At 45.7% G+C, this 25,491-nt stretch overlaps 4 annotated features.

Annotated features, from left to right (window-relative positions):
• Positions 9,174-10,150: an enhancer, noted in NCBI's record as "H3K27ac-H3K4me1 hESC enhancer chr17:54776084-54777060 (GRCh37/hg19 assembly coordinates)". NCBI's record gives its function as "activates a minimal SCP1, AML or CMV promoter by ChIP-STARR-seq in naive H9 embryonic stem cells {active_cell/tissue: H9 hESC(naive)}" and the evidence as "EXISTENCE:reporter gene assay evidence [ECO:0000049][PMID:30033119]".
• Positions 9,174-11,127: a biological region, named in NCBI's record as "CDK7 strongly-dependent group 2 enhancer GRCh37_chr17:54776085-54777284".
• Positions 9,175-10,374: an enhancer, noted in NCBI's record as "CDK7 strongly-dependent group 2 enhancer chr17:54776085-54777284 (GRCh37/hg19 assembly coordinates)". NCBI's record gives its function as "activates an origin of replication core promoter dependent on BRD2, BRD4, P300/CBP, MED14 and CDK7 cofactors, with strong dependence on CDK7, by STARR-seq in HCT116 cells {active_cell/tissue: HCT116}" and the evidence as "EXISTENCE:reporter gene assay evidence [ECO:0000049][PMID:35650434]".
• Positions 10,151-11,127: an enhancer, noted in NCBI's record as "H3K27ac-H3K4me1 hESC enhancer chr17:54777061-54778037 (GRCh37/hg19 assembly coordinates)". NCBI's record gives its function as "activates a minimal SCP1, AML or CMV promoter by ChIP-STARR-seq in naive H9 embryonic stem cells {active_cell/tissue: H9 hESC(naive)}" and the evidence as "EXISTENCE:reporter gene assay evidence [ECO:0000049][PMID:30033119]".

The raw sequence follows: 25,491 nt of genomic DNA on the forward strand, positions 1-25,491 counted from the left end.
CCTGTCTCAAAAAAAAAAAAAGGAAAGAAAGGAAGAAAGAAAGAAAGAAAGAAAGAAAGAAAGAAAGAAAGAAAGAAAGAAAGAAGAAAGAAAGAAAGAAAGAAAGAAAGAAAGAAAGAAAGAAAGAAAGAAAGAAAGAAAGAAAGAAAGAAAAAGAAAAGAAAGCCGAGAGGCCAACTAATCCAACACACCCCTACCCACCCATTTCACAGAGGAGAAAGTTGAGGTCCTAAAGGAGTAAAGGATGTGAGAAAGTCCCACATCTAGTGAGTGGCCATGTCAGGTCAGCCTTGACCCCTGCCTCTCAACTCCCAGGCTTGTGCTCTTTCCTTTCTAGCAGTAGAGTGCTGAACTTGCTGTTTGCCCATGCATTTGGGGTTGGGACAGGGGAATGGACATTGAGAAAGGGATTGCTTTAATTAACATAGACACAGAGGAGGCATGGGCTGGGCAGGTGATGTGGCAGGGGGGAGTTTCAGAAGGGATTTCCAGGTCACTGACTGTGCCAGGCTCCAAGTTCCAGATGCTTTTTGTCATAGGGGCCCGTCCACATGACATCCGCCACCGTGGCACAGGCTGGAGGACATGCCCTGCCTGACCAACATTTTAGGGGCTGGAAGACGAGAGGAATCTTCCTGGAGAGAGGCTGGATTCTGTTCCTAGCTGCACTGGGGATTGACGAGGAAGCTAACTTGAAAGGTAAGGTGGTATACCAGAAAGCTCGTCAGACAAAAATTCAGTTAAGCTTTGGTTCTGCTCCTGTCTTATTGTGTGACCTTGAATCTTTCCCTTAACCTCTCAGAGCCTCAGTTTCCTCAGTTATATTAAGTATCACAGCACCTGCTATTCCACCTACTCACAATTGTGGGAAAACTCTAATCTAACCCACTAATTAGATAGATAAGGAGCTCACAAATCCATTTGTATACAATCCTGGACATGGGTGAGATAATAATAAAAGGTGGTTTGCACATCCTGGTGTCTAGGAATTAAGGTACATGAAATTACCCAACCACACACCGCTTCCTGAGTCCAGAGGCTGGAGAGATTTCAGCAGCCTCCATTTCAGGGCCAGTGGGATTCTTGAAGACAAAGGGAAAAATGTTCTCAATTCCTTTGTCGAGAGACTTACGTCAACAGATGTCCCAGATAGAGACACTCAGGATGCGTAATGGAATAGTGCCCACAAGGAATAGGGGCCCAGGGAGCCCTCAAAGCTCCAAGTCCTGGTCCTGCACATGGAGCTCCGGAGAGAGGCCAGGACGGAGGCTGGGATCCAGGGCAGGAACATGTGGAGGAGGAAAGGCGAATTGGCCAGCTCTGGGGAGACATCCCAAACATCCGGAACCCATTGCTCAAGCAGGGCACTGGGCTCCAGAGGCATGCTGAGCGGAAGATGGTGGGGTTTTGTTTTATTTTTGGATTTTGCCAAATCAAAAGAATTCAAGAAATTGCGGGAACTGTTGTGTTGAAATGCAGACACTGCCAGGGTTGGCACAGGCCTGTTTATAAGTAATTCAGTCTGAAGCAGGGAGGAGCTGCAAGCGTGCACACATGCACACTCACACACACTCGCACACACATACTGCCTGCACAGGCCAGTGGCCACAGGAGGCCTGATCTTCCCTTGGTGGCTCCTGAGGGGTTGGCCAACACACGCGGGCTCCAGGCCAATGTTCATTCATCTGTGCACTCCTGTATTCACTGAGTGCCTACGACGCAGCAGGCAAGTCAGAAGCTCACAGATGGTGTGGGGAGCAGAGGCGGCCCCTCCCTTCCCAGTACTGACGTTCCTCAGGGCCATACAATGGTAGGGGATGCAGGTCCCCCCTTTTTATCTGAGCCTAAGTAGAGAAGAGTAGGCGATGGGCTAGGGAAGGAGAGCAAAGGGTAAGGAGACATGTAGCAGACACTGGTGGCTCCCCACCTATCACCCATCCATACTTCCTGCTTTTGCTCTTGCTCAGGCAGCAGTCAGGGATCCCTTGATCTTGGGGAGAGGAGACACCTTCCCAGTCTTAGGGGATGCATCATAACAGGTCCAAAATAATTGTGGTCACCTCATTACCTTTGGTTAGTAATTGGCCTGAAGGTCTACACATGTGACCCAGTTTTAGCTAAAAAGCTATAAGAATTCTCCTGGGAGAGCTAAGCTCTTTTGCCCTTCCCCTTTCTTCTTACTAGAACATGGACATAAGGGTCAGAGGTGTCAAATCCATTTGAAAACCAAGAGGCAACATGTCAACAAGCTAAGATGGCAGGACTAAGAGAAAGAGCCCGCATGTTTGACAGCACCGAGCCATTGCACCAGAGTTGGAATGCCTGCCTTCAGACATTCATCAGGTGAGACCAAATAGAAATCTATATTTATACTATACATTTATTAAATAAATATCTATTTATATAATGTCTATTTATAAATAATATATATATTTTTGTCTCATCTGATGAGTGTCTAAAGGCAGGCAGTCCAGCTCTGGCTCAGTGTGTCAAACACACAGGCTGTTTCTCTTAGTTCTGACATATATATACAGATAGATAGATAGATAGACAGACAGACAGATAGATAGATAGACAGACAGACAGATAGATAGATATAAAATGCCCTATTTGTTGAAGCTGCTTTTAATTGGGTTTTTCCGTTACTTACAGCTGAGAATATTCCTAAAGCATCTGAGAGAGGATGTTACTAGTATTATCATGAGAAAGCCATGTTGCAGGGCATAAACAGGCCCCCGCTCCAAGAAGAGCCATTGGAAAGAGCTGGGAAACAAAGAGCTCAACCACACTTTTTTTTTTTTTTTTTTTTGAGACGGAGTTTCGCTCTTGTTGCCCAGGCTGCAGTGCAATGACGCTATCTCAGCTCACCGCAACCTCCGCCTCCCAGGTTCAAGTGATTCTCCTGCCTCAGCCTCCCTAGTAGCTGGGATTACAGGCATGTGCCACCATGCCCAGCTAATTTTGTATTTTTAGTAGAGACGGGGTTTCTCCATGTTGGTCAGGCTGGTCTTGAACTCCCGACCTCAGGAGATCCGCCCACCTCGGCCTCCCAAAGTGCTGGGATTACAGGCATGAGCCACCGCGCCCGGCCAACCACACTTCTTTTTTAAACGAAGTGGTCTCCTGGGTGATCTGTTCTCTATTAGGTGCTAAAGGTATGTATGGTGCTAAGGGTATGTATACCACCCCTTCCCACTGGAGGGACTTTAGCACCAAAATTCCTTCCTGAAGAGGACTTACTAAATCATTCCAACCCCAATTTCTTGTTCTTCAATACAAGTTGGTATTATAATTGCATTTGGAGGAATCAGTAAGTTGGGACTTTAAATCCTGTGTGTGTTTGTGTGTGTGTGTGTGTGTGTGTGTGTGTGTGTGAAAGAGAGAGAGAGAAGAAAGTTGCTGTTTAAAAATTGCTATTGCTTCATGTCTAATAACGGCATTCAACAACTGCCAGGGTTCAAATCTAGCTACTCCCTAACCATATGAAATTAAGTTGTAAAACCTATATGTGCCTCACTTTTCTCATCTGTAATAGCTTCTACTTCATAGAGTTAATGTGAGGAGTAAATAGATTAATTCTTATTTAGAATTAAGTCTTAGAACAAGTGCCCAGCACATGATAGATCCCCAAGAAATATTACCTAATGTTTTCATTGATTCTGAGATGCACATAGGTTTGTCTTAGGGTGTTTGTTTTGTTTTGTTTTGTTTTGTGTTTTGGAGACAGGGTCTCCCTCTGTCACTCAGGCTGCAGTGCAATGGCACAATTATAGCTCACTATAGCCTCAACTTCCCAGGCTCAGGCAATCATCTCACCTCAGCCTCCTGAGTAGCTGCAACCACAGGCATGAACTACCATGCCAAGCTACCTTTTTTTTTTTTTTTTTTTTTTTTGTAGAGACAGGGTCTCTCTATGTTGCCCAGGCTGGTCTCGAACTCCTGGCCTCAAGTGATCCACAAGCCTCAGCCTCCCAAAGTGCTGGGATTATAGGCATAAGCCACCACACCCAGACTATTTTTTTAGACATTGATTTTGAATTTTATTCCAGTATTTAAATTTCTAAAATACATTAATGTGTTAAGTGGAAATCAAGAACATTTAACTGCCTGTTGATGAATGAGCAGAGAAAATCTGGTGTCTACAAAGCATCCAGATAAGTATATAAGTACAACTTACGCACACACTTTACATTCAGCATTGTGACAGGCACTTTCAAAACCTCCTCACGGTTGACTTACAGCTCATTGGGCCCCCTTTTTGTAACTCCACAGAACTTTCAGGGATTTTGTTCTTTCCAACTTTTATTTTAGGTCTGGGGGTACATGTACAAGTTTGGTTTATAGGCAAATTGCGTGTCATGGGGATTTGGTGTACAGATTATTTCCTCACACAGGTAATAAGCATTGTATTTGATAGTTTTTCAGTCCTCACCCTCCTCCCAACCTCCACCCTCGGGTAGGCCCCAGTGTCCATTGTTCCCTTGATTGTGTCCATGTGTACTCAACATTTAGCTCTCACTTATACGTGAGAATATGTAGTATTTGGTTTTCTGTTCCTGCAATAATTCACTTAGAATAATGGCCTGCAGCTCCTTCCATGTTACTGCAAAGGACATGATCTCATCCTTTTTCATAGCTGCATAGTATTACATGGTATATATGTACCATATTTTCTTTATCCAGTCCACCATTGGTGGGCATTTAGATTGCTTCCATGTATTTGCTGTTCTGAATAGTTCAGCTCATATTTTTACCATCCCTCAAACCATGATGTTTTTCAGAGAATAGTATGTGTCATAGGTAACTGGAATCATTTTTTTCTGGGTGATTTGCTTTTACAACCTGCAATATCCTTGATCTGACAAAGTGTGGAATTATTATTGGAGCAGATCTCCTTGCTGTGAAAAGGGCCACTTATGTAGTCCTGTAGACATAAAGATATATAAAGCAAATAGGCACCTCATTGTCACTGGGGAAGGAGTTTTGAAGGTTTGTCAAAGGCCACCCTATCCCATACCTTTTGTTTGTGGAGCTCAAAGGCTCTGGTGAAGGAACGGGTAAATTTGTGTAGCAGATCAGCAGATCCAAATGGAAATCAATGCTTTTTAAAGACTTTACTTTTTTAGAGAAATTTTAGGTTCACAACAAAATTGAGAGAAAGGTGCAGAGACTTCCTCTATACCCCCTGCCCCCACACATGTTTAGACCCTCCCACTATCAACATCCCTCACCACAGTGAAGCATTCATTACAATCAATGAACCTACATTGACACATCATTCTCACCCAGAGTCCACAGTCTACATGAAGGTTCACTCTTGGTGTACATTCTGTGGGCTCTGATAAATACATAATGATATGTATCCACCATTACCATATCATACTGAATAGTTTCACTGGCCTAAAAATCCTCTGTGCTCTGCCTAGTCATCCTTCCCCCTCCCCTAACCCCTGGCAACCAATGATCTTTTCACTGTCTCCAGAGTTGCGCCTTTCCCAGAATGTCATGTAGTTGGAATCCTACAGTATGTAGCCTTTTCAGTTTGGCTTCTCTCCCTTAGTAGTATGCATTTAAGGTTACTCCATGTCTTTCTGTGGCTTGATAGCTCATTTCTTTTTAGCGATGAATAATATTCCACTGTCTGGATGTACCCCAGTTTATTTATCCATTCACCTCCTGAAGGACATCTTGGTTGCTTCCAAGTTTTGTCAATTTTGAATAAAGCTGCTGCAAACATTTGTGTGCAAGTTTTTGTGTGGACATAAGTTTTCAATTCATTTAGTTAAAAACCAAGGAGTGTGGTTGCTGGATCGCATGGTAAGAGTATGTTTAGTTTTGTAAGAAACTGCCAAACCATCTTCCAAAGTGGCTATACTATTTTGCATTCCCACCAGCAATGAATGAAAGTTCCTGTCACTCCACATCCTCACCAGCATTTGGTGTTATCAGTGTTTTGGATTTCCGCCATTCTAATAGGTATGTAGTGGCATCTCATTGTCATTTCAATTTGCATTTCCCTGATGACATATAATGCAGAGCCTTTTTGTATGTGCTTATTTGCCATCTGTATATCTTCTTTGATGGGGTGTCTGTTAAAGTCTTTGGACCATTTTTTAATCAGGTTGTTTGCTTTTTTATTGCTGAGTTTTAAGTGTTCTTTGTATATTTTGAATAACATTCCTTTATCAGATGTGTCTCTTGCAAATATTTTCTCCCAGTTTGTGACTTGTCTTCTCTTTCTTTAGACATTGTCTTTCACAGAGCAGAAGTTTTTAATTTTAATGAAAGCCAGCTTATCTGTTACTTATTTCACAGATCATGCTTTTATTGTGGTATCTAAAAAGTCATCACCATACTCAAGGTTATCTAGATTTTATTCTGTGTTACCTTCCAGGAGTTTTATAATTTTATATTTTACATTGAGATCTAGGATCCAATTTGAGTTAATTTTTTATGAAGAGTGGGAGGCCTCTCACTAGTTTCAGTTTCTTGCATGTGGGTGTCCAGTTTTCCAGCATCATTTGTTGAAAAGGCTATTAGATCAATGCTTTTGGATTTTAGATTATTCAAAAACCTAAAGAATTGAGGTTGTACAGTGAGGTCACTTGAGCAGAAAGGACATGAAGGCCCTCCCAAGAAGGAGCAGAAAAACGTGCCGTGACTTTGACTAGAGCCGGAGCTGAGAATGTCAGGTGGAGATTCATTGCTCCAGCAACTAACGTGGCAAAGGTGGACCCAGGACAGCTAGGGCCTCACCAGCTTCCTGGTGGCACACCTGCATCTGATAGAATCCCCAGTGGGACTGGATCTAATATGAATAAGCATTTGGAGGGTTGCAACTATAAGTTGAAACTCCATCATTCCTCTTCAGTTCAATGTGGGAGCGTAGACACCAGGAAGGAAAGGCAATCTTCTGATGGAGAGACAGGGTTATGATCAGTTTCAGCTTGAATAACACAGGAAGCGTGGGCTTATTTTTTAGCTTAAGCACGTGAAGCAAGTTATATGAATGAAACTATTATTAATTAATAATTATTATTTACAATATGACATTATTACCAGTAGCAGCCGACACTTATCAAGTACTACTATGTGTGGAGCACTGGACTATGCACGTTGTGTAGATTATCACATTTACTCTACAGAGCTAGGAAGTAGCAGCAACGACTCATTTGACAGCTGAGGAAATGAGACCCAAAGAGGTCAATTAAGTTTTCTATAGTCACTCTGCCAGCATGCAACAGGGCTCAGGTTCAAACTCAACTTGTCTCACTCCAGAGCCTGAGTTAATCACTATTCATGTTTGAAAATAGAGTTTCTTCTTCTTCTTCTTCTTCTTCTTCTTCTTCTTCTTCTTCTTCTTCTTCTTCTTCTTCTTCTTCTTCCTCTTCTTCTTCTTCTTCTTTTTGAAACAGAGTTTCGCTCTTATTGCCTAAGCAACCTCTGCCTCCTGGGTTCAAGCGATTCTCCTGCCTCAGCCTCCCGAGTAGCTGGGATTATAGGCATGCATCACCACGCCCAGCTAATTTTGTATTTTTTGTAGAGATGGGGTTTCTCCATGTTGGTCAGGCTGGTCTCAAACTCCCGACCTCAAGTGATCTGCCCACCTCAGCCTCCCAAAGTGCTAGGATTACAGGCATGAGCCACTGAGCCCGACCAAATTTCTTCTTTTAATAGCAGTGTTTCAGCTGGTTTCTGACTGCAAAGTTGGCTGGGTGTGTGTGGCTTCTCCCTCTGCCTGTAGAAACTCCATCATTCCTCTTTAGTTCAATGAGGGTTATCCAGGATTTGCTGGATACTACGTTCTCTGCCTCAATGCTCCCTTGCCAGATGGCCTTCCTTCAGCAGTATATTAGTCAAGTTGGGCTGCCAGAACAAAATACCATAGATTGGGTGGCCTAGACAACAGAAATTTATTTCCTGACAGTCTGGAGGCTGGAAAGCCAAGACGAAAGTCTGGCAAAGTTCGGATCCTGGTGAGGACTCTCCACCTGGCCTGCAGACAGCTGCCTTCTCTCTGGGTCCTCACATGGCAGGAGAGGGGAAGATTTCTTGCTCTTCCTCTTTTTATAAGGCCACAGTCCTATTAAATTAGGGTACCACCTCATTTAACCTTAATTATGTCCTAAAGATCTTATCTTAAGATATAGTCACATTGGGGGTTAGGGCTTTAACTTATGAATTTGGAGGGGACACAATTTAGTCCACAGCAAGCAGTTACTTTTTTTTTCTTTTTTCTTTTTTCTTTTTTTTTTTTTTTGAGACAGGGCCTCACTCTGTCACCCAGGCTACAGTGCAGTGGCATGATCGCGGCTCACTGTAGCCTTGACCTCCCCAGCTCAAGCAACCTTCCTGCCTCAGCCTTACAAGTAGCTGAGACTACAGGAGGGCACCACCATGCCCAGCTAATTTTTTTATTTTTTGTAGAAACAGAGTCTCCCTATGTTGCCCAGGCTGGTCTTGGACTCCTGAGCTCAAGCAATCCTCCTACCTCAGCCTCCCAAAGTGCCCAGGCCAGAGCACAGTAGTGTGATCTCGACTTACTGCTTGTGCCTCCTGGGCTCAATTGATCGTCCCACCTCAGCCTCCCAAAGTGCTGAGATTACAGGCAGGACCCACTGCACCTGGCCAATTTACTCTTTTTTTTTTTTTTTGAGACAGGGTCTCACTCTGTCACCCAGGCCAGAGTACAGTAGTGCAATCTCAACTTACTGCCTCTGCCTCCTGGGCTCAAGTGATCATCCCACCTCAGCCTTCTGAGTAGCGGAAAGTACAGGCACGTGCCACCATGCTTGTCTAATTTTTGTATTTTTTTAGAGATGGGGTTTTGTTATGTTGCCTAGACTAAGGTTATTCTTATATTCTTTAAAAGAATGAAATTTTCCATGAATGTCTACTCTCAGGTATCTCGATGACCACAGACTTTAGATCTTAGAAGCATCTTAGAGGAAATCAAGCCTAAATTCTTCTTTATTTTACAAATTAATACATGTGATTCCGAGACATTAGGGGATTTGCCTGGAGCCATACAGCTGGTTAATGGCAGAGCTGAAACTAGAACAAGGTCTTCTGATTCCAGTGGTGCAGTGGCACCATTGCAAGGTCTTGGAGGAACAATGATGGTGATGATGATTCAAGACCCTACTGTTTGACAGGCATAGTATGACTTATTTTATACACACCACCTTATTTATTCTTCACAATAGCCTGGTATAATGGGTACTATTATCCACCCATATAGATGAGGAAACAGGCTCAGAGAATGAGATACCTTACTCAAATTCACACAGCTAGTTGGTAAGGGGGGCCTGGATCCAAATTCTGTGCTCCTTTGATTTCACTATGCTCTATTTCCACCGAGGAAGTGGGTTCCCTGGTGGGGCCAGGGAGGTGGCTCTATGGCTATGAGCCAAGATTTTAGGCCAAGTCAAGGTCATGGACTCTTGGGATCAGCCCTGGGGCCAACAGGCTGCCAGAAGTGACAGAACGAAGAAAGGAAAGGAAGGAGAGAAACAGGAGACAAATCTTGATGGCTTCCCCATATTGCCATTGTCCTACTTGGGGAGTTCCACCTTCATCTGTTTTACCCTTTTTTTCCTTTACCTTCGAGCTCTACGTCTCTTTATCAGTAAACTAGCCTTGCAGACAAGTGCAAACTGTGCCAGCCCTTAGGCTGCAAAGGAAATGAAGTTGGCATTCTGTAGTCCTCACCTGGCATGAATCACACACAGCCCCAAGGGACCGGGACAAGGCTACATGTCAGACTGATGGACTATTGTCTGGAGCTTTGAGAGAGGAAAAAGGGAAGGCTGCTTGCAGGAGAAAGGTGAACAGGTTGGCCCCGGCCCAAGAATGACAGAGGCGCCTTGCTCCTGCCACCCGGCTCTGCTCCTCTGGCCCAGGAACAATAACAAGGCGCTGTCAGGAAGTGACACTAAAATGCCTTTCCCCTTATACCTCGTTCAGCCTCTGGCAAAAGGAGGTTCCCGGAGGGAATATTTTTAGTTTGACAAATGAAAGCCTGGGACCGAGGACAGGAGGGATAAAGGGAGCTCTTCTCTGACACTCCTGGAGACGGGGAGATGATGAGTCAGATACAGAGGGCTTAGGCACGACTTCTCAAGACATTCCTCAGGCATGAGCACAAGCCAGCCGCTCGAATTCCTCCTGCAAGGCCCGCCACCCGGCAATCAGGGCGGAGGGGCCGGGCCAGAGGAGCAGCTCTGCTCTGTCTTCCTCTTGGCACATTGTTGGACAGCAGCTTTGGAAGATCAAAGCAGCCGCCTGTGTTGCTTTCCGGAACTGGGACTCAGGAGGCCTGGGTTCAAGTCCAGGCTTCACCATTTGCCGGCTGTGACATTAAGTGTCCTCATTTCTCCCTTTATGCCTCAGTTTCCTCATCACCAAATTGAGAGTATTATAACACCTTGGAATTATTATTATGAGGTTGTACATTTGGAAAAAAAAACCTTGAGAATGCAGTGTTTAAAAGCATTGGTTTTCTGTATTGCTCCCAGTACCCCATATGCAGATGGACTCAAAATCTCACACTGGTGGCCACGTGCAGTGGCTCACGCCTGTAATCCCAGCACTTTGGGAGGCAAAGGTGGGTGGATCACCTGAGGTCAGGAGTTCGAGACCAGTGTGGCCAACATGGTGAAACCCTGTCTCCACCAAAAATACAAAAATTAGCCAGGCATGATAAATAGGTGCACGCCTGTAATCCCAGCTACTGGGGAGGCTGAGGCACGAGAATAGCTTAAACCTGGGAGGCAGTGGTTGCAGTGAGCCGAGATTGCACCACGGCACCCCAGGCTGGGCAACAGAGCGAGATTTGGTCAAAAAAAAAATCTCACACTGGTAACAATAATAACCAGTACCTATTGAGTGCTTCTTACTTACCAGGCTTGTGCCAACTTCTCTCACATCCAACCCTCTCAATAGTTCTGTGAGGTAGATCTAATCGTTTCCACCTTCTAGACAAGTATACTGAGGCTCAGAGAGGTGGCATGGGCTGCCTAAGGTCACAGAGCTAACAGATGGTAGGCTGACATTAGACTCCAGCTCCCCCAACTCTGAAGCCCACTTTTCTTTTTTTTTTTTTTAATTATTATTATACTTTAAGTTTTAGGGTACATGTGCACAACGTGCAGGTTTGTTACATATGTATACATGTGCCATGTTGGTGTGCTGCACCCATTAACTCGTCATTTAGCATTAGGTATATCTCCTAATGTTATCCCTCCCCCCTCCCACCACCCCACAACAGTCCCCGGTGTGTGATGTTCCCCTTCCTGTGTCCGTGTGTTCTCATTGCTCAGTTTCCACCTATGAGTAAGAACATGCGGTGTTTGGTTTTTTGTCCTTGCAATAGTTTGCTGAGAATGATGGTTTCCAGCTTCATCCATGTCCCTACAAAGGACATGAACTCATCATTTTTTATGGAAGCCCACTTTTCAAATCCCTGTGCTGGGAACCCTCAGCCTGGGCCTGTACCCAGCAGGAGAACAAGATCAAGGCAGTGCGCTGGGCCAGGCACGAACTGGGGAGCCAGAGGGAGGGGAAGGAGCAGAACAGATAAAGAAATCGGAGGCGGAGCCAGGGTTCAGATGCAGAGCAGCAAGTTGAAGGAGCAGGGAAAGCACCAGGGGCTGGAGCCTGGAACCCTGGCAGCTGTCCACACTTGGTACAAACATGCTTACGGCAATATGGTGGATTGCTGGGGCAGGGAAGGGGGGGTGCACTTAAAAGTCAGAATCCGCTCATCTGATTGGAAGAGAGAATGAGGCAACTAACCATCTGTAGATAGGCTTATTTCTCACTTTTTAAACAGCTGGTTTGGGTGGGTGCTCCTAGGGACTCAGCGCAAAGTCATTGGGTGAATTCTACCCAAAATATGTAAAGCCATGATGAGCAACCCACCCCACAGGCCACACGTGGCCCACCTAGTGTCATTGGGTCCATGATTTAATTTGGGGATGAATAGTAAGAGGCCATCAACGTGTACTGCCTCTCAAAAAATTCTGATAGTGATGATATTTCTTGTTGTTAAATTCAGTGTTACTTCACTCATTAGCATCCTTCTCTTACGTAAGTGATCTAACTCTCGAGAAATCACTTTTAATCCCCTCGTAGGACTTGATACAGTTATTTTGTTTTAAGCAGAAAACAAAAGATGGCTCTTAAAGTCAATTATTGTCTTCTTTAATTCACCCTCAGGAAGGAAGGAGAGGGTGAGAAAGGGAGGAAGGAGGTAGGGGGGAAGAAGAGAGGCAGGCAGGCTACCACTGATGTTGAGTCTCAACATCCTCAAACTGCAGACCATGAACTCTTTTCTCTGTGCACTCATAGGAAGGTCATCCTACTGCCTCCTCGGCCAAGCTAAAACCCAAGAGACTTCTCACCATTCCTCTCTCTCCTTCTCCCAGGGATATCACCCCCAGCATCACTGCTAGGGCTTAGGATATCACTAGTATTCCCAACATCACTCAGTGTCTCCCTAGAAGACCTGTGAGGAGTCTCCTCTCAGACCTCAGTGTCAAGGCAAACAGCAAGTGGCTGCTTTTACCCGGTAGGTGATGTGAGCGAGCGTGTTAGAGGGTCATGTCCTCATGTTTGCGTTGGTCACTGAAAATGTTGAGAGTGGATTTTGCATCTTTCCTTTCAGGATCTCACAATGTGAATGTAGGTTCTCCTGCAAGTGTCCCCACTGACAAGACATGGGACCTTGGGCAAGTCATTTAAACTCTGTGAACCTTATCTGTAAAAGAGAGTTAATTACCACTTGCCTCATACGGCAGATGTGGAAGTGAAATTTAGATGATAGATAATAGATAGATAGATGATAGATAGATAGATAGATAGATAGATAGATAGATAGATAGATCACATGTGCCTAGCATATAATAGGTCATCAATAAATGATAGGTGGTGTTACTATTATCCACAGCAGCACCCTGACACACTATGTATACTAAATTTTCTTTTTTTTTTTTTTTTTTTTTTGAGATGGAGTCTCGCTCTGTCACCCACACTGGAGTGCAGTGGTGCCATCTTGGCTCACTGCAAGCTCCGTCTCCCGGATTCACACCATTCTCCTGCCTCAGCCTCCCAAGTAGCTGGGACTACAGGCGCCCGCCACCACGCCCAGCTAATTTTTTGTATTTTTGGTAGAGATGGGGTTTCACCGTGTTAGCAAGGATGGTCTCAATCTCCTGACCTAGTGATCCACCCACCTGGTCCTCCCAAAGTGCTGGGATTACAGGCGTGAGCCACTGTGCCCGACCACTAAATTTTCTTTTACTGCATTTCATTCAACTACCTTTCTTTTTCTATTTCACAGAATCTCTATCTTTTTACTTTTCATCTTATGGTAGTATGTGTTTGTGAGGTTTGTGGGAGGGAGTTGCAATCCACCTTAATATTGTGGAGCAGAGCAGGTCAAAAAAACCAAACAACTGTAATACTAAAATGAGGACTGTTTTTCCCAGACTCTGCAGCTAGGTTGAAGTTGTTGTCAAGCTCTTTGACTGCAGAATCTCTTGAATATTAAGGAAGGTGGGGCATGGGGGTAGGTGTGGAAAGGACACCAGTGAGGAAAGAGGGATCTTGCTTGGGATGCAAGATTGAGACCTACAGGAAGTAGGGAACCTTTGCCATGCCAGGGCACTTCCAGGAGCTGATGGCTTGGTCTTCCTTTCGATAGCCACTGACCAGGTTCTCTCATGGGGACATGGTCTCAGCGACCAGCTTTTCCTGCATGTGCTGTTCTCCTGCTCCCAGCTGGCCCACCCTCTCTTCCATCTGTATGCTTCTGTTTTCTTATGGTTTCTACAGCCTGCTTCTTGGGTTCCAGAGGGCCCAGGGGGCTATGACACCCTGTCTGTGTGTCATAAACCTTCAGCTTCAGCCACCTCTGCCACCGGCCTCCTTCTCCTATCATTTCCTAGGTCAAATTCTCTAAGGAAGAAATATGATGGCATACACTCATCCTTCTCTGAACCTGTGTCCTAATGGTGGACTCTATAAGGGATGCCACTGAGTCCCACCCTTGGGGATTCTATGGGGCCAAAGAGTTGGGATGGGGACAGAACATGGAGTAATCAGCCACCTATTTGGCTGCCCCTTGAGCAGGGATATGAGAGATATGGCTTTCCCCTAACAGGGAGGCCCCGTGGTTGACATGTGGGGATACCTTGGCACTCCCAAGTGGCCTTCCTGCAGTCTCCACCTGTACTTACGCTTTGCCCTCAGGGTCTAGACTTGGGACACAAATCCCAGCCCCACCACTGACCAGCTGCTTTGTTTCAAGCAAGAATTCTTTCCGACTCTCAGATTTCGTATCTGTGAATAGTGATCCTCATAGTATCAACCTCAAAGGGTTGTGATGTGGAGTAAATAAGATTATCGGAACACAGCCTAAAACATAGCAAACACTCAACACCTACAAGTTGCTATTTATTGCGATTGCCATTAATACAATTCAGAGTTGGGTAGAATCAGCTCAAATCCCATTTGAGAACTCTTTAAGCCTCAGTTTCTACATCTATGCCAAGGTACTTCTAACACCTTCCTTGCAGGACTGGTGCAAATGCTAATGTATGCAGCGATCTCAAGCAGTACCTGGTAGACACTAATATTAACAAATGCTTACTCTTTTCTCCCTCATTCTTTATGAGGTGCCCCTTGACTGTTTTCCTAAAAAGCCATTCTCCTCCCCATAAGGTACCTCTAGAAGTATCCTATAAAGAGCTCATCCCTTTGGCTCTTGGAACCAATCATTGGCTAAAAACTCATCCTCAAGAAGCCATAAGATGGTAGAATAGGTAGGAAACTTGGAGTCCCACTGACCTTATCATTTACAGATGGGGGAAACTGAGGCCAATGATAAGAGGTAATAGACCCATGTGAGAAAGGGGCCAACCCAGAAACAAGACCCTGCCTCTCCTGATTCCCAGTCCAATGTTTATGCCACACTTTATTTGCCCTCAGTAGATTTCTCCATCTGAAGTTCCCTTTCTCTAGTCATCAAATACACTCACGCCCACACTTGTGCTAGCAGAACCATCCCTGTGAAGAATTAAAAGCAAAGACTTTGAGGCAAACTGAAAGGGGAAAGAAAAACAGCCCCAGAGACGGCGGGAAAGCAGCAACAAGCAGGCCCACAGCCTTGTCCCTCACAGAGCCAAGCCCATGGCTTAGCTATAACAAGAGTGACTTGGGAGTTATTAAGGAAAGGAGCCTTTAAACCACGACGTCATAAGAATGGCGGGTGTCTGTGGGCCTTGAAAGAGAAAGGGGATTAGGCCAGTGTTTAAGGCTGAGCCGTTACGGCCTTGAGGTCCCCAAAGCAGACCACCTGCCCTGCCTAAGAAATGTTCACCAAAGCACCAACATGAGAAATGAATGTTTAAATTTGACATTATTAAAAACCATCAGCTCCAATTTCAAAGGCTGACAAGGCTGCCCCTGCTCCCCTACCCACCCAGGCCCAGCCCATCCCACCAGAACAACTAACCCGTGACATCAGAGCCTGCCCTGGGGAGATAGTCTGGTAAATTAGCACTATCTACAGAGGCGGAGGATGGAGTTACAACCTCATCAACTGGGGAGAATTCGGGACTCCCTGGCTTAGCTCACACTCCCAGTTGCTTGTCACAATGCCTATGCCCAGAACTTCTGGGTCTTGACAGCAAATCTCTTGCCTCCTACACTCCTACAGAGTGGGATCCCAAGCCCCAGAGAGGAGGTCAAAGGCATCCATGGGGAAGGCAGGTGGGTTCCCAGCCACTAGCCCTCTCAATCCCACTTGCTAAAATAGCTCAGAACTTGCTCTCCCTTTCATCCAGGGGTCCCCAACTTGGGCTAAACTTGGGATGCTGCCCAGGTCCAGAATCTTGACACTGGTGTTTTTTCAAACCGCCCCCCCCCGCAGGAGACAGCAGTGAGCAGCCATGGTGGGAGCCTCTTCTGCAGTCAATCCACCCTTCACACTGCAGCCAGACTGTTCTCTCCAAAGCACGGATCTGTTAACACATCCAAGGGGAGGGACCCCAACTCCTTCCCTTGGGGTCCAATTTCCTTCTCCACTGACCTAGTCCTCCACTTCTGCCCCATCTGCTTTCACTCCTCCTTACACTCTAGTCATTGGCCTGGTTTTTTTTTTTTTTTTTTCCGTCTTTTTTTTTAATTGAGACTGGCTCTGGCTCTGTTACCCAGGCTGGAGTGCAATGGTGCGATCTCGGCTCACTGCAACCTCCGCCTCCCAGGTTTAAGCGATTCTCCCACCTCAGTCTCCCGAGTAGCTGGGACCACAGGCGTACACCACCACACCCATCTATTTTTTTGTATTTTTAGAAGAAATGAGGTTTTGCCATGTTGCCCCGGCTGGTCTCAAACTCCTGAGCTCAAGCCATCTGCCCGCCGCAGCCTCCCAAAGTACTAGGATTACAGGCGTGACCCACCTAGCTTGGTTGGATCTTCATTTTCTTTCTTTTTTTTTTTTTTTCTTTTTGAGATGGAGTTTCACTGTATTGCCCAGGCTGGAGTGCAGTGGCGCTATCTTGGCTCACTGCAAACTCTGCCCCCTGGGTTCAAGTGATTCTCCTGCCTCAGCCTCCCGAATAGCTGGGATTACAGGTGCCCACCGCCACTCCTGGCTAATTTTTTTTGTTTTTAATAGAAACGAGGTTTCCCCACGTTGGCCAGGCTGGTCTCAAATTCCTGACCTCAGGTGATCCACCCTCCTTGGCTCCCAAAGTACCATAATTGCAGGCCTGAGCCACTGCGACCAGGCTGGATGTTCATTTTCTAAACAAACCACCTCTTTTGACTTTGGGGCTCCAACTATTCCATCTGCCTGGAATGCCGAACCTTGCTCCCACCCATACCTAGGAAAGTTTTCCTTAACTTTCAATGCTCAACATGAATGTCTCTCTTGCCCCACACCGTATTCATTGTTTCCTGGTGATAGTCAAAACCCATCCTTCAATAGCATTCACCATGAGGTAGTTGCCACATAAATGGTAATTTTACATATTTTAATTCATTTCATCCTCACCACAACACTTCAAGGTAAGTATTAGTATCATCCACACTTTACAGATGAGTAAACAGAGGCAAGGAGACATGAAATTACTTGCTCAAGATCACACGGCTAATGACTGATGAAGGAAGGCTTGAACCCCAGCCTCCTGGGTCCAGAATCCACTGTGCTATAGGCCACCGCATAGTGCTACCTTTTCTTTTCTTCCTCGATTGTAGAGAAATAGAGAAAAAAGAAAAACCAAAAAGGAAATCTTACCCACCAAACACCAAGCTCCTTGAATGCAGGAGTTGTCTTTTATTATTATAAGTATTACAATAGTCTAAGTATTATTATTCAGTATTATTAATAGATCACTACATTAGTAGAAATTACAATTACTCTCACATATGTATGGATTATTCTCTCTGTGTGTGTAAATGCATTATCTTCTCTATAACTCAACAACCACAGGAGGACGTGTATTATTTTTACTTTATAAATAATCTGATTTATCTATAGGCTTTGTGAAGTTAACACCCAAAGTCACCCACCCCTACCCTAAATTCTCCACTACTTAGCACAGTCAAGATGCAAAGTCAAGACTCAATGATCTGTTTGATTAATCTGAGTGTCTCATTGTAGGCCTCTACATTTGAGTTCTAATACAACCTATTAATACAAGATTGCAACTTCCAATAACTAGGAGCTATTACCTCCCTACTATGTGCCAGGAGTTGTGCTGAGGGCTCCATTGGCATCAATTTGTTTATTCTCAAAACCCACTGGGGCAGGGCCCATTGTTTGACTCATTTTTCAGATGTCTCACAGAGACTCGGAGAGGTTGTGTGATGTGCCCCAGGTCACAGAGCTGGCTAGAAGCAGGGCCAGTGGAGGAGCCCTGCTCTTTGGGGGCTGTGTTCCCAGGCTCTCTTCTACACTGAGAATAGAAGCACCAGAGACAGAGGTGGGGAGGGGATGGTGCGGGGCAGAGGGGAGGGGGAGGCTATGAGAAGCATTCCATCAGATACAACTTTCTCAGACATTTCAACGGATTCCTCAGTCCCTGTAGGACCATATTGTCTCTACGGCAAATGATGACATGAACCGTCCAGTTGCTCCCAGCGACATCTTACTTCTGCTCCTTCCGGGCCCCTGCACAGGCCCCTGTGCATTCCTGGTGACGTCACCCAGCTGTGCTCCCTCATCTCCCGAAGGAAGCTCTGTCACAGTCAGGAAGGGGGAGGGACGGGCGGGGGTGCAGAGGGATGGCACGGAGACAGGCCGCCTCTTGGCGCCTGAAGGAATGCGTTCTAGCCTGGCCGAGTTTGGGGAGGGTCCTCAAGCAGGTCACTTCCCGATGATCAGAAGGTGGACGCTGGGGCCTGAAATGCCCAGGCTCGAGATGAAAAATAATCCAACTGAATAAATAAATCACCAAAGAGAGCAGCAACCACTGTCTGCCAAGAAATTTAATCCTGAATGTGGAGAGAGTTGATGGGGGTTGGGGGACAGGGAGGGCTGAGGTTCTGAAAAGATTTAATTGGTGATAGGGCCCTAAGAATATGTAAATAGTCTCTTGGTTTCTGTCCTAAAAGGAGAAACAGATGCCAAGGACTCCAAGCTGAGCTTTCTTATGAAAATCACTAAGACCCCAGAATGCCATTTAAAATGTATATAATTTGATTGTTATCTCCTATGGGGAAGGGCTCCTTGCTCAAAGTTTCCTTTTACATCAGCCCCCGCCCCCCCATTGTAAGACTCAAGGCTCCATTTTCTGTCCCCCTTTCCCCCTTCCCCTCCTCCAAAGCCCTACAACCAGCTCCAGTTGGAGAAGGCAATGGAATGTTCAGTGTGGGGGTGTGCACTTTTAAGCTCTCAAAAGCCTGTGGCTAAACCTTTAACTCAAAGACAATAGAAATAAGGTTAACAATTTCCAAGTCCAGCCTCTGCTAAGAAATGTCCAGTGGCAAGGAATCAGTTCCCTGTTTCTCCCTGGGAAGCCAGTCCTATTAGTTTGGACATTACTGATTCTTAGACTGCTCCCCCATATGTTGAATTAAATTTGTCTCCTTAAAACTTTTCACTTTTACTCCTTGGCATGACACAAACACAATGGATCATTCTTTCCCATGGCAAGCCCTTCTAGAAGTGCTCTGGGGGGTCAGATATATCGGTGAGCATGGTGTGGGAGGCTGAATATGCCCCCCAAAGCAATCCACATCCTAATACCCAGAACCTGTGGATCTGTTACCTTACCTAGCAAAAGGCAACTTTGTAGATGTGATTAACATTTGTAATCAGTTATCTTGGACTCTCCAGGTGGGCCCAATATAATCACAAGGGTCCTGATAAAGAGGGAGGTGGAAGGATCAGTCAGAGAAGGCCACGTGATGCTGGAAGCAGAGGTCGGAGGTCGGAGTATGCAGGACATGAGCCTCTAGAAGCTGGAAAGGATAAAGGGACAGATTTTCCCCTAGAGCCTTCAAAAGGAACACAGCCCTGCTAACTTATTTTGGACTTCTGACCTCCAGAACTGTAAGAGAATAAATCCGTGTTGTTCGAAGCCACTAAGTTGGTGGCGGTTTGTTACAGCAGACTTAGGATGTTTTAACTCTATTACAGCACATGGGCCAGGTAAAAGACACATGTATCTGTATACAGAACAACACATCAACCCAATTTGATTCCACTCAAGGTCTTTGCACACGCTGTTCCCTCTGCCAGGAAAGCTCTTCCCCTAAATCGTCACACAGCTCCCTCCTTTCACCTCTGTGATTTCTGCTCAAGCTTCAGGTCCTCAAAGACCCTTTTCTGGATGCTCCATCTAAAATTGTGCCATGCATGTCACCACCACTCCCTAGCTGTTCCAGTGTTTTTCAAACTGCAGGCTGCAATCCATTCCTAGACTGTACAACCTATCTAATGTGGCCCATAACCAGCATCTTCTACAATAAAACAGAAGAGAAAATATCAGAACACATCATGTGTAATAAAGGTAAGTAGTGTTTCTTCACATTTTCATTTTTCTTTTTTGTATGCTTGTGTGTACATTGGGCTGCAGTGTAAAATCAGTTTCTTACTAGGAATCAAAAATTTTGACCTAATACATTACCCTGCTGAGTTTTCTTCAGAGCAGCGGATGTTATCTGAAACTCTCTTCTGTATATATTTATTCTCCATCTCCTCCAAGCAAACGTAATCTCCCTAAGAGACAGACTTTGCCTGTTCCTTTTTTCTTTGCTGCATCCCCAGCACATAGAACAGTGCCTGTACCCCATAGTCATACAATCAATATTTGTTGAACAAATGGATGAATGAATTAGTGAGCCCATGATTTCATGAATATTATTGTTTAGGACAGAAGCAACATTTCTTAAAAGTGAGTAAATTTAAAGGAACATATTAAGTAAATAGTAATACAAGAGGTACCCAGTGAGGCAAAAATCATAAAGATGGGGATATTGAAATACTAAACTTGGGGACATAAATATTCCCTGCTCTTGTGGAACCTTCAAGCTAGCTGGTGAAACTAGCTGCAGAAGGGCTAAAGAAAGGACGAATCGTGTCCCAGAATGTTGGAGATCACGTCCGCCTCCTCTCGTTTCACCAATAAGAATGCCGCAGCCCAGAGGGCAGAAGTGACTTCTCCCAGGCCACAGAGCGGCCAGCAGCAGAAGTCACAGCAGAACCCCACGTCCCGCCTCCTGGGGACAAGCTCTCTCTCCTTTCAGCCCAAATGACAGCTTTGGGCACACTGAGTCTCAGTCAGTTTCCTTTCAACCCAAATGCATTTGGGCCCCTAACTCCAAAAATCCAGGGCAGGAAAGTCCATCCTAATTCTAGCCTCACCCTCCCCACCCCCTGCTCTGTCCGGGAATTTACAGGCAATGCCATGTAGTAGAAAGATAGCCAGCTCAAGAATCAGACACAACTGGCTTCCAATAGGCCTGTGTCTATTCCTTATGAACCAGGAAGCTTAGGCATGTCTCTTAATCTCTCTGAGCTTCACTTTCCTCACCTGTAAAATGGAGCTTATAAATAAAATAGCTCTGGCCGGGCACAGTGGCTCATGCCTGTAATCCCAGCACTTTGGGAGGCCAAGGTGGGTGGATCACGAGGACAGGAGATGAAGACCATCCTGGCCAATATGGTGAAACCCTGTCTTTACTAAAAATACAAAAATTAGCTGGGTGTGGTGGTGGGTGCCTGTAGTCCCAGGTACTCAGGAGGCTGAGGCAGGAGAAATGCTTGAACCCAGGAGGCCGAGGTTGCAGTGAGCCCAGATCGCACCGCTGCACTCCAGCCTGGGTGACAGAGTGAGACTCCTTCTCAAAAATAAATAAATAAATAAATAAATAAATAAATAAAATACCTCTGTAAAGTGCCCAGAAGAAAGTAGGTTCTCAGGAAATGTTGATTCTCTTATGCTTTCTGCCAAGAGTTTTATGCATTATTATTGTGGTTTCATCTTTAACCAGTGCCCACAGAGGATGGACACTGTTCAGATGTCTTCACTGACAAGCCAGCCAGGAGGCATCATCTTCCAGTGTCAGCTCCAGGCACTCCGGAACAGCTGTCCCTGCAAGGGGAACTCTGTCCTCTGAGGTGGAGGGCACTCATTCCAGCGCGATGAGACACTAAAGCAACCATGCAGGTGTCAGAACGTGAATGAGCTGCTCAGGAATGGTGACAGGCCCCCTTCCAGTGCGGAGGGTCTGATTTCCCCCTCCCTTTCCCACTAAGGTGCAGTCTAGCTGGAACCACAGGATGACTCCTGTGGGCTCCTTCCTTCATGAAACTAACATGAACGCACGTATTTTACAACTGCCTTGGTATAGAGACAAAAGTCAATATATCATAAAACATTTTCTTTGACCTAAAAGTTCATTTTTTTTCTGATTTTAAAAGAAATTAAAATACATTCATGGGACCCTAAAACTATTCTTATATCCTCTGAGCACTGTGCCTGTGTGTGGTACCCAAGGGATAATTTGGCCCTGCTCCAGCCTCCCTTTGCTCACCTCTTCCACAGGGCAGGCCAGCTCTGTATTGATCAACTCTGACTTAGAACATAATTTGTGTGTTGTTTTTGTTTGTTTGTTTACAGACAGGATCTTGCTCTGTTGCCCATCCTGTGGCACCATCATGGCTCACTGCAGCCTTCAATTCCTGGGCCCAAGCAATCCTCCCGCCTCAGCCTCCCCAGTAGCTGGGACTACAGGTGTGCACTACCATGGTTGGCTATTTTTTTTTTTTTCAGAGATGGGGTCTTTTTATGTTGCCTAGGCTGGTCTCAAACTCCTGACCCTGAACGATCCTCCTTCCTCAGTCTTCCAAGGTGCTGGGATTATAGGTGCAAGCCACCGCACTGGGTCTACCATTCTTTACAGTGAGAAAAACGTGTGTCCCTTGAGCTTCCACTGTCTTTGGCCCCAATCTTAAGTACAGAGAAAAGAAAGCTCCTGCTGTCCTGTAGGAGGTCAGCTGTCTGTAGTGGGTGGAATGGTGGCCCCCAAAGATATGTCCACGTCCCAGAACATCTGAATGTTGCCATATTTGGAAAAAGGGTCTCCAAAGATATAATTAAGTATCCCCATGTGAAATCATCCTGAGATTATCCAGGTAGGCCCTAAATCCAATGACAATACATGTATAAGAAACACACAGAGAAGGCATGCTGGGAGAAGACAAGACGCTGTAAAGATGGAGGCAGAGACTGGAGTGATGCAGCCTCAAGCCAAGCAAGGCCTGCAGCCACCAGAGGCTGGAAGAAGCAAGGAAGGATCCCTGCCGAGATGGTTTGGATTTGCGTCCCCACCCAAATCTCATGTCAAATTGGAGGAGTGGCCAGGTGGGAGGTGACTGGATCACAGATTTCCCCCTTGCTGTTCTCATGATAGCGAGTTCTCACAACATCGGATGGTTTAAAAGTGTGTGGCACTTCCCCCTTCACTCTCTCCTACCGCCATGTGAAGAAGGTGCTGGGTTCCCTTCACCTTCCGTCATGATTGTAAGTTTCCTGAGGCCTCCCAGTCATGCTTCCTGTTAAGCCGGTGGAACTGTGAGTCAATGAAACCTCATTTCTTCATAAATTACCCAGTTTCAGGTAGTTCTTTAGAGCAGTTAGCAGAGACTAACACATCCTGCTGGAGCCATTGGAGGGAGTCTGGCCTTGCCGACACCTTGATTTCAGACTTCTGGCCTCCTGAACTGTGAGGGAACAAATTTCTGTTGTAAGCCACTCGATCTGCAGTTATTTGTCACAACAGCCCTAGGAAACAAATATATCGTCCATTCCACAGTGCTCCTGCCCCAGGCTCCTGCCTTGTGGAGCTGTAGAAAGAACAAGCGCTTCAAAGTAGGCTCTGAATCTGACTCTGCCAGTGAGTATCTGAGTAAATTGTCCTACAAGGGATAAAAAAGTATTGAATTTTTTATTTCCATTTATGTAATTACAACTGACAATCTAGGCCAACATGTATCTCCTTGAAAAAGAAGGAAAATTAAAAGGAAAGATGACTTATAAGTCCAGAAACAAGAAAATGCAAGTGATATTTTCCAGAAGGGTCACATGAATTATCCCGTAAGTATAAGGTGAACATGTTGTTTGCACCAAGAGAGTCGCTGAGGTGGGAAAAGGCCAATGAATAACATCATCTCTCAAGAAAAAAAAATGGTACAGTGCTCTATAGTGGCATAGAGATGTCCACATACCCCCCACAGAAACCCTGGCAAACCCTTGTGTGATTCCTAGAACCATACTTTTCTGTACCCTATTAACTCATATGTAAAATGGGGACAACTATCTCTACCTTACAGGGTTGTTTAGAGGATTAGAAATAATAACTAGAAAATGCCTAGCTCGGGTTTAACAACAGAGGGAATCATCAAGTCCTGTTGGGCTCCAGGAATTGAGCCGAACACAGGCCTCTTCCTTGCTCAGATTCCTGTGTAGCCTGGTCCTGACATTTGGGGACAAGATGGGATGCCTGGAGTTTTGAGGAGAGGAGCCAGCTCTAAAGGGAGTGAATTTGAGAAAGATTCCCAACTAGGAGGCAGTGTTCATCTTGGCCAAAAGGCCTGGAGCATCCAGGAGTCCCCTTGGAAAAAACCTGGGGTCCACTTTCTTCCGAAAAATCAAGCAAACATTTGATTCTTTTCAGATATTTTCTATTTGATTATTTAGACAAAGAGAATATGGGGAGTTGAGGGAAGAGAAGGAAGAGCATCTTCATGAAGTCCCAGCAGAAGGGTCAGACCCGCAAAGAGGCCACAGGATGGGCAGGACAACCTCAAGTGACTCTTTTTTCCATTTATGGGGGGACAAGCTCTTGCTCTGTCACCGAGGCTGGAGTGCAGGGGCACAATTATAGCTCACTGCAGCCTCAAACTCCTGGAATCGAGCGATCCTCCTGCCTCAGCCTCCCAAGTAGCTGGGACCACAAGCATGCATCACCACACCAGGTTATTGTTTTCATGTTTCATACAGATGACATCCCACCATGTTGCCCAGGTTGGTCTTGAACTCTTGGCCTCAAGTGATCCTCTCGCCTCGGCCTCCCAAAGTGCTAGGATTACAGGCATGAGCTACCATACCCAGCCCCTTTTTTGAGGTTGCAGGGAAGAGTATAAAGAGCAAGAAGTCGTAGGGATTCCAGGTAGTTGGGAAAAGAAGATGGGAATTACCAGTCTGGGCAAAGAGACATAGGAAGGCTAAGAATCCAGGGGCCACAGGAGGTGGGAAATGTGTAGGATGCAAAACAGGCAGTCAAAAGTCCCAGATCCCAAAGGCCGCCCTGAGGGCACCTGAAAACACTCAGCTCAAGTCTGATCTTCGCCAGGCTGACCCCTCTCTTGCCTGGACCTCCCCTTCTAAGTAACCCCCTTGGGGCTCCTGAGGGTCCGAGGCTGATGGCTGCAGAAGTAGGAGGCACCTTGGAGCACCTACAAGTACAGAGATGGGCCAGGCAGACCTCAGCCTGTCAATCAGTGGAAGAGGTAGGTTTAAATCTAGGTACCCAACTCCAGATCCCATACTCTGAACAAGGATACTGGGTGTTCCCTCCTCATCTATAAAATGAGGACAATAACACCTTTCTCACAGGCTGTTTTGGGAATTAGAAACAACCCACTCACCTTCCCTAGCACATCCTAGACCATACACCAAAGCTTTCATCATGGCCAGTGGGACCATGCCTGGGCCACATTCCCATCAGTTTCTGCTATAATTTGGATATTTGTCCCCACCCAAATATCATGTTGAAATGTAATCCCCAATGTTGGAAGTAGAGCCTGGTGGGAGGTGTTTGGATCATAGCGGTGGATCCCTCATGCATGGTTTAGGCCATCCCTTTGGTGCTAAGTGTGCTCCTCTCCGAGTTCACAGGAGAGTCCAGTCATTTAAAAGCGTGCGACACCTCCTTCCCCGCACTCTCACTCTCTGGCTCCTGCTTTCACCATGTGAA

This window comes from Homo sapiens, chromosome 17, assembly GCF_000001405.40.
Source record: "Homo sapiens chromosome 17, GRCh38.p14 Primary Assembly".
Classification (NCBI taxonomy): Eukaryota; Metazoa; Chordata; class Mammalia; order Primates; family Hominidae; genus Homo; species Homo sapiens.